General features: G+C 35.3%; 1 protein-coding gene across 2 annotated transcripts in view; it reads left to right on the top strand.

The window, feature by feature from the left end:
* GPR158 (G protein-coupled receptor 158) overlaps nt 1–22,091 on the top strand; it is a 427,229-nt gene that overhangs the window by 222,869 nt on the left and 182,269 nt on the right. For both annotated transcript variants that reach the window (XR_930512.4, NM_020752.3), the window contains exon 4: nt 14,381–14,604. Coding sequence is in view for 1 of the 2 variants with exons in the window: in NM_020752.3 (NP_065803.2) it covers nt 14,381–14,604 (224 nt within the window). In the remaining variant the exon portion in view is untranslated. The remainder of the gene's footprint in view (nt 1–14,380; nt 14,605–22,091) is intronic.

The following is a 22,091-nucleotide window of genomic DNA, read 5'->3' on the forward strand; positions in this document are numbered from 1 at the left end:
TTATATTATTTTATCTAAGACTCCATCATAGCAGACTGGAAGGAGAGAGAGAATCTTCTACTGGCTTTGAAGAAGTAAGCTACTTTGTTGGGAGAGAGCCACGTGGTTGGGGCTTGAGAGCAGCCTCTAAGAACTGAGAGCAAACCCCACTAATAGCCCATGAGAAAACAGGGACTTCGACTACTACAATTGCAGGGAAGTAAATTCTTCCAACAGCCTGAATACTCTCAGAAGAGGACCGTGAGCTCCAGATGAGAATGCAGCCTAGCCAAAACCTTGATTTCAGCCTGGTGAGGCCCTAAACAGAGAACCCAGTTACACTGTGCCAAGACTTCTATTCAATAGAAACAGGGAAATAATAAACAGACATCTTAAGCCCCTAAACTTTTGATCATTTGTAATGCAGCAATTGCAAATATACAATAGCAATCCTGGTAATATATTTTAAGGATGATTATGCTTTTTGGTGTGTGTGTGCCAGACCATGGCGACACCGGAGCTACTCTGGCATTTTTCACGTTTATGGTCCAGACATAACATATGATTCAACACTGAAAGATTAAGGGAAAAGGTTTTAGCTTATGTTCTGTGAAGGTATTTTGTATCTGGTTTACCCACATTTGTTCTCAGCTCCCACTATGTGACTGAAATAAAACATCTAAATATTGTAGAATCAGAGAATGACTATGCCATTTGCTTATAACACTACCAGGAGAAACTGGTTAACCTTTAACAACTTATCTTTATTTAATTTGCACACTCCTACTTTCTTCCTTATTTTAAAAGCCAGTGTTTTCTTACTGGACCTACACTCTAAGAAAAGGCTGCTTCTCTGTGTAAGTCTAACTCCCATGTTATACCCATTGCAGCCATGAAAGAGAGGCCACTCTTTTCAGGAAGATGATGTATAATTGAGTTTAGCTTTGATTCAGCTTTGACCTCAGCACATACTTAGCCAAGACCAACCTTCCTCACTGACAGAGCAGAACAGTCGCTGCATGTTGTAATTTGAAGCCAGTAAAGCAGGGGTCCCCAACCCTCGAGCTGCAGACTGGTGCCAGTTCATGGCCTGTTAGGAACCAGGCCGCACAGCAGAAGATGAGCAGTGGGTGAGTGTATTAGCCCATTTTCATGCTGTTATGAAGAAATAGTCAAGACTGAATAATTTATAAAGAAAAGAGATTTAATTGACTCACAGTTTCACATGGCTAGAGAGGCTTCAGGAAACTTACAACTGTGGTGGAAGGCACCTCTTCACAGGGTGGCAGGAGAAAGAATGAGTGTCGAGCGAAGGGGGAAGGCCCTTATAAAACCATCAGATGTCATGAGAACTCACTCACTATCATGAGAATGGCATAGGGGAAACTGCTCTCATGATTTAATTATCTCCACCTGTTCCTGCCCTTAACACTTGGGGGATTATAATTCAAGGTGAGATTTGGGTGGGGACCCAGAGCCAAACCATATCAGTGAGACAGTATTAACGCCCAAACTCTGCCTCCTATCAGATCAGTGGTGGCATTAGATTCTCATAGAAGTGCAAACCCTAATGTGAACTGCATTTGTGAGGGATCTAGGTTGCATGCTCCTTATGAGAATCTAATGCCTGATGGTCTGAGGTGGAGCAGTTTCATCCCCAAACTGTCATCCTGCATGCCCTCCACCTCAGTCCATAGAAAAATTGTCTTCCGTGAAACCAGTCTCTGGTGCCAAAAAGGTTGGGGACCACTGCAGTAAAGTACTCTTTGACCAAAAATATCTTTCCTGATGGCCTTGTCAAGTTTCATGAAAATCCAACATTAATCACTTCTTGTCCTAAAGAAAGAGTTCAACAACCTGACTAGGAATATGAGCTCTGTAACTCACCGGGGTCATCATCGAAGAACTACTCAATATTTTTTTAATTTGAGGCTTATAAGAGAATATATTGCATGTTTCTGTGTTTTAATTTATTAGGCCTCTTCATCATAGTATCCAGGCAAGTTATAGGGAATGTTATTTTTATACTTTCTTGATGAGGTATCTGTGAGATAAGGAATGACCACATGTAGCCCTTGAACCAAAGGTAAGAAAGGCATTAGGGACCCAACATATGAGCTAACATGGAAAACTGCTAGCACAGTACATGGCATATAATAAGTGGTCAATACACAGTTAAATAATTGAATACACATACACACACATATAAAAACATAACATTAATCATGCATGTAAAGAGATAGCTCCTAAGCACCACTGGTCTTTAGCACCTTATCTCAAATATTTCATTATATTAGGTTAACCAGTGACTTTAGCTAGGACCTTTGGAGAATGAATTCTACAATAGGAGGAAATTAGTTGCCTAATAGGGAGAAACAGAAAGGATATAGAGCAAAGATAAAATTTACTTAATTTATAATTGTAAATATAGCAAAAGACCCCAAATTCCTAAATCTCTTGTAGTCTTGTGGCCCCTTTGGAGAGAGGAGCTAAGACGTGGTGCTGATCTCTTAGAGAAAATATAAATATGACTTAAAAATTCTGTTAAAATATGAAGTGATTTAAAAATCTTTATTTAGACCGAGGCCCACAGTAAACAAATGACTCGTGAAGACCAACAGAATGTATTCAAATAACATGATTTGAAATTGTGCTGGCAGCCCAGAGACCTTGTTCCTGGCATTGCTCTTGAAATTGGTAATCACATGTGAGTTAGCAGGATCTGACATCTGGATAGTAGCAGGATTTCAGAATAACCAAGTACTGATGTTTCACTGTCTCTTCAAATCCAGGTTGTTCCCTTCCAGGTTGATGAAACACAAGCTTGTGACTAGCTCATCTTCCTCACGTTCATCTATCTTAGTATGGATTCTGTCTTCAGTGAAACTGCTTTTATCTTTTGTGTGGATATAGTACCAGTCTTTCATTCTTATTTCTTTGGCCTTTTGGATTGACTTCAGCCTGTGTACATTTCCAAATCCAAATTTACAAGTGACCCATATCCAGAAATGACAATCTCTACTTACCTAACTCTAGTGCTATTGATATGAGAAGATGCGACGGGAGGAAAAAAGACAACAAAGTAATTAGAGACATAAAGAGTATGCAGTTCTGGAAGAAAAAGAAGGGAAGCTCATTGAAAGCAGTACAGTTTAGGGATTCTGGCTGAGCTCTACAGCAAATGTTAAGCAAGGCTGACTTGTCTCTGGGATGAGTCTTAGTTTTCTTGCTTTGCTTGAGTCTCACACTCTCTTCCTACTCTGTTTCATGGCTGGGGAGTCGGGACATTTGCTTTCTGTAGACTAAGCTCAGTATCAGTCTCTAGTATCTATTCCAAACTTAGACGGAATAGATTAAAAGAGCTTGAACACCACAGTCTCATAAATAGCATCGTCACTTTCACCACTGGTCTGACTTCAACCTTGTAGTCTCATTCTGAAGCTAGGCTTTTACTGTATTATAGGAACCTAGTCCTAATCGGTTTTACTCTAGTTGTAGAAGAAAGATTCTCCATCCAATTGCCGGTCTTATGTTTTTGCCTCAGTAATTTGCTCAATTTTCATATATTTTTCATTAGTCTTATTTGTAGGGACTAATGAAAAATGCGAATTGAACATATTTCCAGATCTCAGATTCTTTCATTTCACTTGTCCTAAAAATGGGCTGTGGACTGAGATATAACACTTCAGTCCTCCAAAAATCTTCCTTTTCCTCCACTAGCTGAAATACTAATTTATTAGACTTTTCCTCTTATTTAACATAATTTTATATATTTGCATTATTTTACTTTACTAGACTGCTAATTAGAGACTTATTTATATTAACAATCATCTTTCCCCAAATATTAAAGACCTCTGGCAGGGAAATTTGACTATTAATTAGCTCAGTGTGGTAGGAAGAATGTCTGAAACTTCACTTACCAACATAATAGTGACAATTTTCTTTGCATGGTAGAATTATTTGTAATTTTTGTTTTCTTTTTGCTTCCGTGTTTTCTTTTTTCCCTAAGTAAAAATACATTTCTTACACAAAATCATAATGTTTTAAAAATAAAATATAACATTCAGAACATATTCCTACCTGGCTTTTAGCAAATTTAGAAACTTTGATAAGATACAAGGTGTTTACATTGCCTCTAAGTATCTCTCCACAAATTACTATTTACAAAGAAAAAAGTAACCTGCAGTGAACAGACTGGTGGCACACCACCTTCCCAAGTAATTAATCAAAGTAGCATCATCAATTATTGGGACAAACTGACTCTTTGTGCCTCCTGGTATGTTACACTGAGGACACAGCATTATTTTTATCGTGTTCCTGCCAAAAGTTAATAATCTGAATCTAATCATGAGGAAATATCAGGCACATCAAAACTGAGGGACATTCTACAAAATAACAGGTCTGTGCTTTCCAAAAATCTCAAAGTCGAAAAGAACAAAGAAATGCTGAGAAACTGTTTCAAATCAGAGGCTAAGAAACATGGCAAGTAAATTCAATGCATGATCCTAGATTTCACCCTAGATGGAGAAAAGTAGCCGCAAAGGACATTATTCTGGCAATTGATGAAATTTGAATATGGGCTATGTATTAGATGATAATATTGTATCAGTATTAAATTTCCAACTTTGATAACTGTAATGTGGTTTTGTGCAAGGATGCCCTTTTCATAGGACATGCTAGCTGAAGTGTCTATGGGTAAAGGGATATAGAATCTCCATCCTATACTCACATGGTTCAGGAAGAATAGTATATGTTTAAATTTATAAACATCTATCAAGACAATATGAATGGTAAAGTAAATACAGCAGAATGTAAATAATTGATGAATCTGGGTAAAGAATATATTGGATTTATTTCTACTATTCTTGTAGATTTTCTGTAAAATTTAAATGATATCACAGTTATAAATTACAAAATCTAACTTTCAGAATATCTGTTTAAATTCAAAGGACTTAAATATTTCAATAATTGTAGCTTTGGTGGGTTAATTAGATATTTGTGATTTGGAGCTAAAATTCACTTACCAAAGTGAATTTATTGCTATCAAAAGAGACATGGCTTTAAATTATTTTAATATAAAAATATTATATACTCATTCAATAAACTTTGGAATGTATACAAAGTAGAATTTTAAAGACCATTCAAAGTCTATTTTTCATTTAATTCTCTTCAGTTTATAGTTTGTAGGCAAATGTCTGTATATATCATCTTTCTAAAAATTTGGAATTATATTTATTTAAAATATACATAGTTTTCTTGAACATAATTTTAATAGTTACATAGAATTCCATTGAATAAATGCACTGTGGTTTGCTTAACCATTCTAAGGTTTATACTTTTACTAGTTTCTATAAATATAAGACTATATTTATACAAAAATATCTAGAAGTTTTATGTTTTTTTCTTGTCAATGAAATAAAATTAAGGCAAGCAAATAAGTTAACATACTGTTCACAAATTGTCACAATTTATTTTGGCAGGCTTACAATTACAGGTGAACGTTTTAGATTCCTCAGATGGCCTGTAAATGCTACTGTAACCTTCTCCCAATGTCCTTCTTTATGTTTTTTCTCAAGGCAACACTCATATAGGAAACTAAACAGCTGCTACTGCCAAAGCTATATAGCTTTATACATTTTCCATTTGTCTTCAGGAAGTATTTGTTTTATCTGAAAGTTCTAAGTCTCATCTTCAAGGGTTTTTAGATTTCAGCAAGGCAGATTGGCATTCTGTGCATGGAGGATGTGTTTCTAGTTGCTCAGAACTGAGATTTCCAAATCAAATTTTGATGCAACATGGTTTCATCAAACAGATTTGCCCATAGGTGCCAAAGTCAGCTGTGCTAACTCATATTCTTAATGTGTTTTTCTAGTTTGTTTCCAGCACCTTGAAAAATACTACTTTAATTAAATTTCTTAAGCATACATGGTTTGAGAGCATGAACAATGAAGTGGTGAGTTGAATATTATTTTCAACTAAGCATCTGTATTATAGATCAGTTAATTTATTCTTTTGAGAGAGCACTTTCATCAGTAACAATTGTTTATTGAGTATCCAATATGTATAAACTGCTGAGGTGCTAAGTGTATAAAGAGATACATCTATAAATCATGGCCCCTATCTCAAAGAATGTAAACTTTTAAACAATCATAAGCTTAAGATACCATTAAATAGAGCTTCTTATTATGTAGTAGTAGTATGATTTCTACTAGCTGCATATGTTCTCTTTTCCTAGATAGAGAACTTCAGCATAAATCAGCAAACTATTTTTAGAACTAGAAGATTATTAAATTGTGCTTTGAGTACTAAAGGGAACACTCAATATCAAAAGCTCTGTGTTTAACTTTAGTTGCTTTTTGAGCTTTAGAAATCAGGTCTCTTGACTTTTGGTTTTGCTTTCTCTCTCTTTTACAACTTTGTGTTCCTTTTAGAACCTCATGAATTTTGATAGTCAAATGAAGTTAAATACATTGTTAAAGAGGCAGTTTTTCATGATAGCATGTTACTGTTTGCCATTTGTGAATTGATCTCATGGTATTTCTGAGCACAAAGAATAAAATGTGCTCATAATTTATTTTCCAACAAGTTGCCTTTTATACATGAATATTGAAATATTTAACCAACGATTTATTTCCCATAGAATCGTTTTGAGTTACATTCAGTTTTCAACCTTATGTCTAGTTGCTACTAATTCAGTAGATAGAATACCTGTTAACTATGATATCTCTCCTACTTGAGGAAGATAATAAAGTGTATAGGCTTTTTCTATGTCCTGCATTCATGATTGTATTTTATGGCCCAGTATTTTGAGTCTTTTGTAATTTTAATATAGGTGGGAAAATAAAGATATAAAACCATTGTCCTATTCTTAGAGGGCTCACAGTTTCTTTTCACATACCATATAGATTTGTGGAACTCTAGCAGTAAGCAGAATAGAATAAAACAGGCAAGTAAAGAAAATCACAATGGCATGTGGCTTTAGGAGAGAACTGAGCAGAGACAGAGTATATCAGTCATGGAAAGCTCTCCATGTTGATGTGGATCTCCAGACCATGATGGCACAAAGGAAGTACACTGAAGTCCACCTTTGGACAGCACATGTGGACTATTCAGCATACTGTCTGCAATTCATATGTTCCAAAATTCTACCCCCGATTCTCTATTTCGAAAGGTTGAATCTAGACAAGTAACTCAGTCTTCCCAGTGAATCAAAATTGGAGAACATTGCAATCGCTATGAAAGAACCTTAATTTATGTGAATAATAAATTACATCAATGTAGAAGAGACCATTATTAGGAAAGATAGATGAACGATAACATTGGATTAGTAAAAAGATATATATATTTCTATTATAATGCAGAAATGATATCTAAGTCCAATTTAGAAATAACATTTTCTAGTAAGAGAAGGGAGACTAATTTTTCATTAATTATATAAATTTAACCCACACAAAGACATTTCTAAAAGAATGTACTGCATTTTTAATTGCAAAAGATACTTTTTTTTAACTGTAGGATATATGTTATGAAAAAGAAATAAATGGCTGATCCTAAGCCCAACTGTTTAGAATGTTTCATAATGGCTTAGTTTGACAATATTCTGTAATTATTAGTTGAATTTGGCAAAATCTGACAAGAGAAACAATTTCCTTTTTTTTTTTTTTTTTTTTTTTTTTTTTTGCTAGCATGACATTAAGGTTGTTCTTTTGGTGATGATGTCAGCTTATTGGGCCTCCAGATGTTAAAAGCCCTGCTTGGGTAGTTTGATTAGCCCAGATCTTAGAGTATCCCACCATACAGCAGTTGAGTTATGATCAACAAAACAAAGAGTGACATAGAGAGGGTTCTACTCTTTAAGTGCAGTGGTTTAACTGGAAGAAATTTATTTCATTCTCTACTATATTTAACAAATTGATTTAGATGTAGTATTATAAAGGAGCAAAAATGACCACAGGCAAGAATAAACTACTTCTAGGAAGTAAATTGTTTTGTGAATGTAAAGGAAAGCCTTTAACATCATGATTAGAGTTATCTTAGTGACCTACAAGATCCCAAGTTAGTTCACTTTTCCATGTCCATCACATGATTACCATGTTGTTCAAATCTGGGTGCACCATTCAAATTCTATTCTATATGAATGCTGCCAGAGACAGCTCACTTTGGAACGTGGAAGCTATGATACAAGCTTTTCATGCCCTGCATCACATACTGTTGACTCACCTTAGATTATAGCTACAGTAGACAGTTACTATTACTGAACATGCTGCCAGTAGCCAACTTCAAGTGCCCACAGAATTTATTTTCTTTTCTGCCTCAGGGCTGTCTCTGAAGCCCTCTAAGCTTGCTCAGCCCTTGCCCAGAAGTGTGGTGAAATGGAAGTTTCCTGGGATAACTGTCAAACAAAAGGATTGGTAGTTGCTGCATAAATATTCCAGCCTTCCATCTTCTGGAAAGTCAGATCTGAAGGGCATTGTATACAGTTTTTAGAGGGATCCCAGCAGGATTGATCCCCCATTTGCCCACAGTAATATCCAACTCAGTAATCTACCTTTTATTACCTTTTCTTTCTTCCTTGTCTTACTATATCTGATCTCCTTCTATCACTCTACCTTTGGTCAACCTGAAATAGTTGAAAGGATCAGATTTCAGTTTAAAAGAGTTTATTCAAGCAAAAAGCTGGGAATAGCCAGCTGGGAAACACGGACGCCAGAGAACTGTGGTCAGTGCTATGAAGTTAAAAGTTAAATGTCTTTCTTATTGGAAGAAAACAAATAAATTTAATAGGATTGCAGTATTTTCTATAAAAAGTTGATTTATGAGTTACAACAATTTAATTAGTTATAATTTGTTTTCTTTTCCATCTGGCTTAATTTCCTTTCTTTACAGCTGGTTTTCATTTTCTTTCCAGTTTACAAAACTGTATTTAACATTCCATCTTATGACAATGTGATAGTCATGAAGTCTTTGTGTGAGAAAGATATTAGTAGGAGGGAAGTTAATCTATCATAAAGATCATTAAGATCAACAATGAAGAGGAAGGTGATCTTTTCTGGTGCCTTTTAGTCACTTGCAACATTTTACAAAACAATGTAGGTAAGGAATAAGACTAATCTATAATCAAAGATACAAAGGTTATAGCTGCCAGTTATGTGACTTGGACCCCATAATCACATTCCTTTAAGGTTCAAAATAATTTAGAGTTCCAACAGCTTAGATTTTGAATAACTTATTTTTATATTTTACACCTTCTTTTAGGAGTCGTCTCCCAAATCAGATATCTATGTCCAAGTTCTTATCTTAAGTTCTGCTTCCTGGGGACCAAGATGAAAATACCAGCTTTAGCTGTTTCGTAGTGGCAACTTGCATATAAATTCAGAAAAAAAATGTTATTTTATTTTCTGTTAAAGTTTTCTGCATGTGCAGTTACAGAAAGAAATAATGCATTGCCTCTTGTAAAATAGAAGGCAGAGTTTGGGGATAATTAAGAATTTTGTTTGGCATTAATATTGGGGGGCCCTAGGTATCTTTGCTATTTTTATTCATTCTTTAGGTAATATTATCTAGTCTTGTGGCTCTAAATACTACCTAAGTGCCCATTATTTTCAAATATTTATTTTCGGTGCAGGCCTTTTTCACATGTGTCAAGATGCCTTTTAGATGTCACCACTTGGATCTCAAGTAGACTTCCTTAACCTGACATGTCAAGATTGGACTTATGATCTCTTCCAAAGCCTTCTCCACATATGTTCTTTCCCTTCTTGGTTAATGGTAACTTTTTTCTTCCACTCATTCATACTAAACACCTTGGAGACAGTCTTGATGCTTTTCTTTCTGTCTCACATGATAACCAAGTCATCTAAAATTATGTCGACTCCACCTTCAAACTCTGCGTGCAGCCATTTTTACTGCTATACTGTGGTCCCAGCCACTATCAAGTCTCACCTGGATTATTACAGTAGCTTCTCACCACTATCCCTGCTCTTTCCCTTGTCCTCTATAGTATGTTCTCTATACAACCAAAGCAATCCTTTAATTACATAAAGCATATCATGTTACTCCTCTACCCAAAACCCTAACCCTAACCCTAATCCTGCAAAAACTAAGCTTAAATATATGAGCAGTTAACATACTGCAATATTTTTCAAGTTTGAGTGATTCGAGGTGCTAAATAGTCTCTGCTTATCCCATCTCAGAGAATTAAACCTTAGCTGATGTGGGTGAAGTTTCAAGTTTCATTTGTATTGAAAGTAAATAATGTATACTGTTTAGGTTAAATGTTGCCAATGTCTTCCTAAGCCAGTGAAAAAAGGTCAGCCTATTTAGTTGAAGCAAGAAAGCAAAGATTTGTGTGAGAAGGACTATTTTCTAAAACAAACAATACCTTCACAGATACTTTTTTGATTAATTTAACTTCTATTGTAGTTCTTCTTATGGTATTTTGGTTTGTGTGGGGAGTGCTTGCACCTGTTAGGATTCACTGTCCTTTGTTGCTAATGTCCAGTGCCTGGTAAAGCCATCATGTTTCAATTTGTCCATTGTTTTTGGTTGTTTCTGATGGGAAGGTAAATTTAATCCCTGTTCTTCCATCTTGTCCAGAAGGGGGAAATCCTAACCTCTGTGTCTCAAATCTGAATCTTACAGCCCATACTTTATCGTCTCCTATTCTACAGTGCTCTATGACTTTTGACACTGTAGTCACCATCCTCAGACCTTCTGAATCCTTGACACCTTTATCTTACTCAGTGAAATGACTCTGACTTCACTTATGTAATTATCCAGTTCATACTCGAGTGAACTCATTGTTTTCTCAGTATCCTAGCTTCTCATACTTCTTAGTTTTTGACTTGTGTGCCCTATGATTCTTCAAGTTTTCCTCTGCAATGGATACCTTTTTTTCATCATCTCAAATTGCTCTTGGCCTTATCTCTTTCTCTACCCATTGCGATCACCATGTCCTGAAGGTTTTGAATGGCTTTGTTTAAGTGCCGTTGAGGTGTGCCTTTCTTCATATCATGCTTCGCACTTCCTGTTCTGCTATGAGGTACCTCTGTGTTCATGGCACAAGATGTGAGAACCTGCTTTGGACTCAAGTGTGCATAATGCAGGCACGTGGAGGCGGTTGATGATTCTGGAAACCCTTTATTAATGAGTAAGGTTGACAATGGAGACACGTTTTCCCCTTTATCTCCATGATTGACTCAGATTCAAGAAGTCCCTGGAGGATAGAGCACAAACTGCTGCCAGGGAGTGAAGGCTGCAGCTCCATTATACAGCCTTGTGTTGGCTTTCCTCTTTCGCCTTTTTACCCCTCCTCTCACACTTGCTGTCTGGGAGCACATTTTGTAATCACATGAAAAGAAGCCTAAAACTGTCATTAGCACAATCCTTTCTTTATTCTCTGTCTGTGACTGTTCTATCCTCTGCATTTGTTTGTATGCTACCAATAATTGTACAAAATCACAAACTATCTTGACTATGTTTCTTAGTAATGCATACTGTCGTACTCTAACTGGATTATTTTTCTGCCAAGTGATCTGACAAATCATCTTGTATTATATTTCTGCCTCAACCTTCAGGTCTTTAGTCTCAAAAAAGGCCTTCTTCACTCTCAATATGTATTCTTATCTGCTTTGTTGAGAAGGATAAGACTACAAGATTGGCTGCCACATTTTTTCTACTTCAAAATGTATTTTTCTTTTCAACTGATTCCTTCTTTCTGCTAAAAAACAAAACACCTTTTAAAAAATCTTTGATTTACCTCTACTTTTTTCCAGTGTTAGAAAAAGAGATATCAAATATTCTTAGAGTTAATTTCTCCAACTATGCTCTTGATTACATCCAATCATGACTTCTCAAATACTTTCTTTACCAGTTTTCTCATATAATTCCTCAATTTCCAATGGCTCATTTTTCCTGGATGCAATTGTGTTATGATCTCACCTGTTTCAAAGAAAACAAAAAACAAAATCGCTTTTTAAAAATATCATAATTATTCCTATCAACCATGAGTTTTTCTTGCTTTTTTCATTCAATAGAGCATTTATTTAAATACTATTCTATCTTATTACTTATTTAGTACTTAAGCCTTGACAACTTAGGGACTAAAACTCCTACTCTTTGGAAATTATTACCTTATAGGTCAGTGAAGGATAAAATAATTATTAAATCTTGTAGCCTTTTCTCAGTCATCATATTGATCACATTATAGCATTTTTTAGTAAATTGCATTTCTTTTATGACACTGTAAATACTCCTCCCTGTATAGCATCTCCCTCTGTACATTTCCCAGTAATTATCCACTCCGAGAGATCTCTGCAGGTTCTCTCTGTAACACCCACTCTATATCTCAGTTCTGTCTTCTAACTTCTCTGTTTTGGAGGAATATCTTTAAGGCACCATGGATTCCTAATTAATCCTTGCATCTCCTATATTTGGAGAAGAGGAGAAAGAGCCAGTCACTATGATTTCTATAAATATTAACAATCTCAACCAGGTGCGGTGGCTCACACCTGTAATCCCAGCACTTTGGGAGGCTGAGGCAGGTGGATAACAAGGTGATAAGTTCGAGACCAGCCTGACCAACATGGTGAAACCCTGTCTCTACTAAAAACACAAAAATTAGCCAGGCGTGGTGGCGCGTGTCTGTAGTCCCAGCTACTCAGGAAGCCGAGGCAGGAGAATCACTTGAACCTAGGAGGCAGAGATTGCAGTGAGCCGAGATGATGCCACTGCACTCCAGCTTGGGTGACACAGTGAGACTCCATCACAAAAATAAATAAATAAATAAATAACCTCATTTAGTCCCACAGCAATTCATGTTTCATAAATAAGTAAACTAAGACCCCAAGTGTTCTAGTGAGTTGTCTCATGTCACAGAGTTATCTGGAGTAGGGAACCATGTCTGCTTGACAATAAAATCCATTTGCTTTTCATCATGTAACAGAATGATGACTCTTAAACAGCATTATATCCACAATTATCAGAGAAATATTCAATTATGCTTTTGCTATTGTCTTTACTGAGGAAACAAAGCAGACAAATACATTATAGAAAGATTGTGAATTCTTAATAAGAGTTGAAAGAAACTAAGACTTTCTGTTAAACTGAGTATTATTAAAATGCTGTTACCTAGAAGAACCTCTTTCCCAAATTCCTCAGTTAATCAAAGTTGTGTTATATACTGAAGTGAGTTCATATTCATTAATGTCTTTTATGTTGAATTCAGAGTTGGAAATAGTTGTTTCTGTTTTGTTTTTTTTTTCCTTAGTATTTGGCATTAATTGGATAGATGTTGGTGCTAAACTCATCTTAACTATTAAAGATAATCTTTACCTGTAGGGCTTCAGAAGTAACTTAAGTTTGATAACTGAGACAGAAGAACCTAAAATTAAAAGGAGGATCGATAGCAGTAAGTGAATAGTGTGAAAATGTCCTAAGAGCTTGCAAAGTGGGAAATTACATGATAGCTTGTAAGTATAGACTGTACTCTGGGCAAAGGATGCACCATCATTAGGCAATTGCACACTGAACAACTGTCAATTAAATACCATTTTACCTAATTTAGACCTAATGAACTTGGTAGATGAGATCCCTGATGAATGAATTAAGGAGCAGTCAAAGTCTCATTTTGGATTCTGGGCTATCTAGGTCAAGAAGTTCCCAAAGGTATGCATGTATTTACTCGGCACATAAAAGCATCAACTTTCTTATTCCTACTTCTGGTTAATTCTCTAACAAATATTTGTGGAATGTGATTTTTGCTTTTCAGTTGGTGAGTGGTAGATAATGATATAAAAGACTTAGAAGGCCAGGTGCGGTGGCTCACACCTATAATCCCAGCACTTTGGGAGGCAGAGATGGGCGGATCACAAGGTCCGGAGATCGAGACCATTCTGGCTAACACAGTGAAACCCCATCTCTACTAAAAATACAAAAAATTAGCCGGGCGTGGTGGTGGGCACCTGTAGTCCAGCTACTCGGGAGGCTGAGGCAGGAGAATGGTGTGAACCCAGGAGGCGGAGCTTGCAGTGAGCAGAGATCGCGCCACTGCACTCCAGCCTGGGCGACAGAGCGAGACTCTATCACAAAAAAAAAAAAAAAAAAAAAAAAAAAAAAAAAAAAAGACTTAGAAAACTGTTCCCTGCCCTCATGAAGCTTTATTTCCATTTTTGCTAATTTTCCTCAACCACTTTCAATGATGATTTTTAAAATCAAAAAGATAAAAAGAATTTTGTTAAGAGTCTAAAGGAAAAGTAACTCCTTCCCCTAGCAAGAGGGTTGACAAAAGGTCTTTAATAAGTGAGAAAAGGAATGAGGAGTCACGGATGTCTTTTGACTCTATACTCAATCTTACCTACCTAAGAGGTGCAAATGACACTGTGGTTTTATTTGGAACTTTCAGGAAGGGGTCCGGATCAGCATATTTCAGGAAGTACAAAAGATGTGTCAGAAGAAGCCTATGTCTGCCTACCTTGCAGGGAGGGCTGCCCCTTCTGTGCTGATGACAGCCCATGCTTCGTCCAGGAAGATAAGTATTTACGACTTGCCATCATCTCCTTCCAAGCCCTGTGTATGCTGCTCGACTTCGTTAGCATGCTGGTGGTCTACCACTTTCGCAAAGCAAAGGTAAACCCAGGAACCCTGGTTATGATCCTGTATTACAGAGCAACCTCTTATCTTTTTAAGCAAACAGAATTTTCCAATTCAAGTTGCTTCCCTCCTAAGCAGCAGTCTTTCTACAATATGATTGGACTAGAACATGAAAGTTATATTCTTTAGCTGACCAGAAAAATAGAGATTAAAACATGATACTTTATTTTAACATTTACAGACTGTTTCCCCTTGTTTAGCCTGGATCTCCAGTGCTTCATTGACTTAAATGACTCTCCTTTACATCATGTCTTTGGCCTCTAGAGAAACTTATTCTACCAGCATCCAATGTATTATTAATTTTTTTGTATCCAAGAAGCTTTGTTATGTTTATTATATTTTTCTTTTCTTAGTTGTGTTTAAATATGGTAAATGACTCAACTATTTTTAGCGCATTATACTTTGAAGAATGAATTTATTTATGACCTTATATTTTGTCTTACATTAGTGTCCCAGAATAATAACAATCCCGGGAAGAACTTACACAGTTTTGGAGAGAACATGTCCTTTGGTTCTAGTCTAAGTAATCAAGAGTAGTACAATCCAGGAGCAGTGGCTCATGCCTGTAATCTCAGCACATTGGGAGGCCAAGGCTGGAGAATTGCTTGAGGCCAGGAGTTTGAGACCAGCCTGACCAACATAGCAAGACCCTGTCTCTACAAAAAAAAACACAAATTTTTAAAAAGCTAGCCAATGTGGTGGTGCATGCCTATAGTCCCAACTATTTAGGAGGCTGAGAAAGGAGTATCTCTTGAGTCTAGAGTTCAAGACTACAGTGAGCTATGATCACACCACTGTATTTCTGCCTGGCTGACAGAGTGAGACCCTGCCCTGTCTCAATAAAAAGAGGTGCGTAGAAGCATTTGTATGCCTTTCAGTCAGGGGTAGATGAAGTGTTAAAATATGCAGGACAAAGCTTTTGGGGGAGCTTTCTCCAGTTGGCCACCCAATTAGTTATATGTAGCCAGTGTTGTATTCGAATTTGTGATTCTGATGCTTGCAGAAATTTATCTGTGCCATTTGGAAAGAAAACAAAACCTAAAGTTTCCAACCTTTTCCAAATTCAAATGATCTCTTTATACTGGCAGAGTTGTACAGATTGGTTTAGATTACAGAGCTCATTGAAGGTATAAAGTGTTCCCATTAGAAATTAAAAAAAATACCCTCTGTGAATGGCATCTATTATGAAGCCTCAAGGTAAACAGTTTTATTATTATAAAGCCTCTGTTGAGATTCTAGGAGATTGTATTCATTATGTTAATGTTATAGACTTTGATAGTCATTTAAAATGGACAGTTTCATTAGCAGAAGAATCCAGCACAAATTAAAATCAAGCTTTAAGTCAGCAAGTAAGTGCAGACAGGCAGATAGCTCCTCATTTAACCAATACTTATCTTTCTTTTGCAACAAACTGTGTGTTATATAATAAAAATAGTAGCCAAGTAGAGTTGAGAAATATATAACCACTGTTACCTAGATAAAATTATAGGTTTTGTAAAAAGCCTGTCAGTGGCATAGCAGGTAGAATTGAAAGGTCTGTCTAACAAACTTCTCTGAAATCTCTCTGATATAATGTAATTAATTTATATGGTAGATAACACACAGTTCCCTATGAATTTTAATTGATTTTGATAATTAATGATTGCTCTGCTAAATGAGTTGGTAATACATGGTAGGTAAAATATTACATTGGATATTTAGAAACCTGAGATAGTTCTGACAAGACCAGTGTCTTAATGTTAATGTTACTTAGCATTGCCGGTTATTAAACCTTGCTAATTTCCCTGGACCTTCATGTGAAATGTCATTTTAATGACCAGAATCCTACTGTACAGGACTATAATGAGAATACATAGCTTTACATGTCACTTTAGTGAAATTTCTATAGATTAAAAACTATTAATAGTAGTAATTGCTAAATTAAACATTATCTAGTTTTAAGATGGTCACCTTTCGAAGAATCAGTTTTTACAGAATGTGACATAATATAAGGGGGATATAAGCTAATAAAGTGAATGAACATAGACCTTGTATGCTAATGAAAAGAAATGTTCAGTGCAATTTTCTGCTGTGATTTCAATTGCTAAAAGCAACTGTAAAAATGATAGAACATTCCAGTGTAGAGATTAGAGATTTATAGAATGTAGAATTTAGATTTGCTTTTTAAAGATTTCCTGTGTCTTTGCAACATTTCTTTGGATAAAGAAGAAACTTGATGATCTCTTTTGTAGCAATATTGACATTTCTTTCGGAGTTTCCTATTACATTCTCTACTTATTGATAATTAAGAGAACAAAGCTCACATAATTTATCAATTTACATGTATTTTGACCAAAAAATCCAATTGTAATACAGAGGTAGCATTACAGTTGTGGGTAAGTGTGCAGACTCATGAGCCAGATTGTTTAGATTTGAATACTGTCTCAGCTCCTTGCATACTGTGAGACTTTGTGAGAATTGCTTAGCCTTTTATTGTCTAGCTTTCTCCTCTGTAAAATGGCATTCACACACCATATACAAAAATTAAATTAAAATGGATCATAGATCGAAATGAGAGAGTAAAAACCCAAGAAACTTTTATTAGGAGAAAACATTGACATAAATCTTCATGACCTTCAGTTAAGCAGTGGGTTCTTAGATATGACAACAGAAGCATACATGACAAAAGTAGATAAATTGGACTTCATGAAAACTTTTTTGTATCAAAGACAGCATCAAGAAAGTAAAAAGAAAACACACAGAATGGCAGAAGATATTTGTAAATCCAACCTGTGATAAGGAATAGTATCCAGAATATATAAAGGACACATAACTAATCAATAAAAAGATAAGTAAAACCAATTTAAAAAGTGAGCCAAGGATCTAAATAGACATTTCTCCAAAGAAAATATATATATATAAGCCAAAATGTTTATGAAAAGATTACCAACACATAGTCATTAGGAAAACGCAACTCAAACCGACAGTACCCACTACCATAGCTAAAAATAGAAAAGATGGTAGCAAGTGTTGCGGATGTGGAGAATTGGACACTCTCATTCATTCCTGTTGGAAATGTAAATGGTACAGCCCTTTTGGAAAACAGTTTGGCAGTCCCTCAAAAAGTTAAAAATTGAAGTATGATATGATCCAGCAATTCCACTCCCAGTATATATCCAGAAGAACTGAAAACATATGTCTACAAAGAAATATGCATACAAATGTTCATAGGACATGGATGGACCTTGAAAACTGCTAAGTAAAACAGTTACAAAAGACCACATATTGTATCATTTCATTTAAATGAAATGCTCAGAATAGGCAAATTCATACAGACAAGTAGATTAGTGGTTACCAGGTACTACCAGGAAGGAAGAATGGGGAGTTACCACTAATGAGTTCAGGGTTTCTTTTTGGAAAGACAAAAATGTTACAAAATTAGATTATGGTAATAGTTGCACTACTCTGACAATATGCTAAAAACTACTGGATTATATACTTTAAAAAGGTGAATATTAAAGTATGTGTATTATATCTCAATAAATCTATTACAAATTTTTAAAGGAGTTTACATATTATTAATACTTACCTTCTGGGATTATTTAAAAGAGTTAATGAAATAATCCATGTAAAATACCTTACACTTAGTCTTCACTAGGTGTTTGTCTTTTGTAACATAATTTTGGACCGCTTTATAAAATTCACAATTCATGTATGCTTCCCACATTGGGGGCCAAGTATGACATTTAAAGTAGTTTGAAAGAATGAGAGGTTGGGAAACATAGCTGTGCCTCTTTGAAGTAGGTACCCAAGCTCCATTAAGTATTCATTCATAGGTACACATGCAATCGCAGATATTTCTGTGCTGATAATCTTCAAAAACCATTTACTGTGCATTTATTTATATGTGGCTTTTTGTCCTTTTCAGGAGTGATTACTTAGTGTGCAAACAAAACTCAGTTTATTTACCTACTTATTGATATTACTGGCTTTTCTAGGAAGTTTAAGCTTCCATCCCCATCCTCAAAATGAGAAAGTTATGGAAACCTCTCCTGGGTATTGATCATGAAGTCATTAGGGATGTTGAGAATTAGGACACATACTCCTTCTTGTGTTGTTATAATAGTTAGAAAAAAAAGTAACAAAATAAAAAGTTGTAATATAGGAATAAGTTTGTTACTATAATACTTTCCTGGTTTTAATTTAGCAAGTTGAAAAACAGTTCAGAACTAGAATGGAGAAACCTCTCATTTTATCGATAAGAAAATCCAGCCCCTGAGAGATTAAGTTTCCAAAGGTAACACAGCCAGGTTGAAAAGTTTATGCATGTATATTTAGCCTTATTCCAGCATATGAAATAAAAACACTTCTAGAAGATTAAAACTGTAAGTTAATAAATTAAGGCTAAGTGAAAATAAGTATAGAAAAATTAGTTGAAATCAAGGGTGAGGTTAAGATATCAAATGGATTCCATGAGGGCAGGGATACTGTTCTCACCCAGTGCCAGCAGGAAGGGCTTTCCTGGAGTTTTCTAGTAGCAGTGCAAATGGGAGGAAAAAAAAAATAAGTCATAGTAGCCATAAGATAAAAACCAACCAGTCAGTGAGATGAAATTCAAATATTCCTGGCACCAAGTCTTGGAAGAAATTTCTCCTGTGGATCTTTATGTAGACAATAGTGTAAAATGTAGTGAATGATGAGCATTCTTACATGGAATACAATAATTATTTTCATGGCTCTATTTCTGTTAATTTCCCCAAATGTGTGCTGATGTTTGAATACTTAAATACAGCACAGGCAAATCAATTCTGTGGGGGTGTCATAATTTGGTCCTGATACACTGTTCTTGGCTGATGTTAATGCAGGTACTTTTAGAGTGTCTAGATCACGGTTGGCCAGTGTGCAGCCCACATGTTACTGCTACATGACTGTGGTAGACACACATGGTTCTCTTTCCCATTTCATTCAGAATCATCCTCAGAACCATTCTTAGGACTCTAAGCAGGTTCTATGCATGAAATCTATTTTTTCTCCTGGATCTTGAAAAATAGGAGGGCTGCAAATCCTTCATATAAACTTTTATAAATACTGCTGGTCTTTACTGAGTTTTCAAAAGGTATTCACTGAGTGAAACCAAATTCGAGGTTCTATTACCTATCAAGAACAAGAAGACAGTTGATTGTGAAGCTATGTGCTATTATAGTAGGTGAACCTGGGGATAGAATGCCATGTGCTAATGATGGCTGAGGCATCTACCTAGACACTCCTGAAGAGAAGTACATGCTCTCAGATGCCAGAAGACACCCTGAGGGAGGGCCAGGAAACACCTGGTTAGGGATGGCACCTAAGCTAGAATCTGAGACTTTTTCTCTGCTTCCTCTTTTGCTGACATGTGAACCATGTTCTTTAATCCAGTTTCACCAGAATTCATAAAATCTTAGTTGACTTTCATATGTGCACCGTATGTCATTGAGGGCCTGCTAGAAATGGACCATTTTGGAACTGAGGCCCCTTTTATTTATATTAGAGTAGCTCTGTGAATTGACAAATCCAAGATAGGAAAACCAATAACAATGTCAAACCTAGCAGCTGAACCAGTCCTTTTGGGCAGGAAGCAAATATGTGTAGGGGTAATAGAGAGTTCTCTGTTCTCAAATGAAATATTAGGTGATCATGTTGAAGAGACATAACATAGTATAGATACGTATGTCTTTCAGTTGCATGGTTCTTCCAGGAAAGTCTAATTTTTAGTACATTTAATTGAAAGAGATTTGTCCAGGCCCAAAATATCAACTCAATAGTAATTAACTACTAGCCATCATTGATGAAATATTGGTTTAACATTTTATCATTTTAAATGACACAAATGAGATTCCATTATACTCCAGGGTGGGAGTTGTTGGATGACACCTCCAAGAGCAAATTAAAATTCACTCTGCAGAAACATTTAGGAAACTAATTACACACATTTGTCCCTATGCCTTTGGTTAAAGATGAAATCTGTCAGTAAACTGTGAATAATTTTGAGCCCAGTGTGTTCTTCTAAAACAACAAGAATTTTAAAACAGTATTTTAAAGAGCCTGAATATTAAATATTTTTTAATTTATTCTACATTTTTTACTAAATATTATGACAAGTAACATTTTTCTATTCGTGATCTCAAAGAGAGAGTATGGTTCCTTACAGCTTAATAATGTCAAGTGTTAGTATAATTTATTTTCAGATGGAAATTTCAGAGAAACAAGGTACACTGGAAGGAACAGCAGCATATACCATTTCTGAAAATAATCTTTTGTTTGACTTATTTTTAGTAAATTTTAGCATGTTTTGAGTTTAGTAATTTAGAAGAAAAGACTGATTTTTAAAAAACATGGACACACTGTAGTTGGTATTTTCTCCTCTATTGCTATAATCTTTCTTTTAAAAAAATTAGAAGTTGACAAGAGATTTAATAACAATGCTAATTTTTTGTTTGAAAAATGAGATGTTTTAATATAGTATGTGAAGTGATTTTTTAAGTGAAATTCTAATATGTTAATTATGATGTTCTAATGACTATTTTGGTAAAATAAAGTTAGGTATGTCATATTTTTATTTTAGTAAAATTTTTATTGTTCATTTTCAGAACTTTTTTTTATCATCACAAACCAAACTCTCTACCCATTATACAATAACATCCCATTTTTCTATCCCTTGGTAACCTCTCTTCTACTTTCTGTTGCTACAAATTTGCCTATGTTTATGCCTTCTATAAGTGGAATCGTATAATATTTATTCATTTGTATCTGACTTATTTTATTTAGCATAATGTTTTCAAGATTCATTGATATGGTACCATATATTATAACCTGATTTCTTCTTGATGATGAATAACATTTTATCATATCTATATACCACATTTTGTTTTTCCGTTCATCTGTTGATGGCCATTTGAGTTGTTTCTACTTTTTGGCTATTGTGAATGATGCTGCTGTGAACATTCATGTACAAGTGTCTATATGAATATTTGTTTTAAATTCTTTTGCTATATACCTAGTAATGGAATTGCTGGATCATATAATTCTATGTTTAGTGATTTGAGGAACCACCAAACCGTTTTTCACAGAGGCCCCACCATTTTCCACCAGTTTGGAAGGTTTACAGTTCCTCCATACCCTAACCTACATTTGTCATTTTCTGTTGTTTTGTTGTTGTTGTTGTTGTTGTTTTAGTATTAGCCATCTTAATGAGTGTGAAGTGGTATCTCATTGTGGGTTTGACTTCCATTTTCCTAATGATTAGTGACAGTTGAACATCTTTTCATGTGCCATGAGCCATTTATATATCTTCTTTGAAGTAATGTCTATTCAAGTCTTTTGCCCATTTTATTTTCACAAGTCTATGTTATGGTTCACTCTTGATGTTGTACATTCTGTGACTTTGGACAAATGTATAATGCATTTATCCATGATTATATTATCATGCAGACTAGTTTTACTACTCT

Source organism: Homo sapiens, chromosome 10 (assembly GCF_000001405.40).
Source record: "Homo sapiens chromosome 10, GRCh38.p14 Primary Assembly".
NCBI lineage: Eukaryota > Metazoa > Chordata > Mammalia > Primates > Hominidae > Homo > Homo sapiens.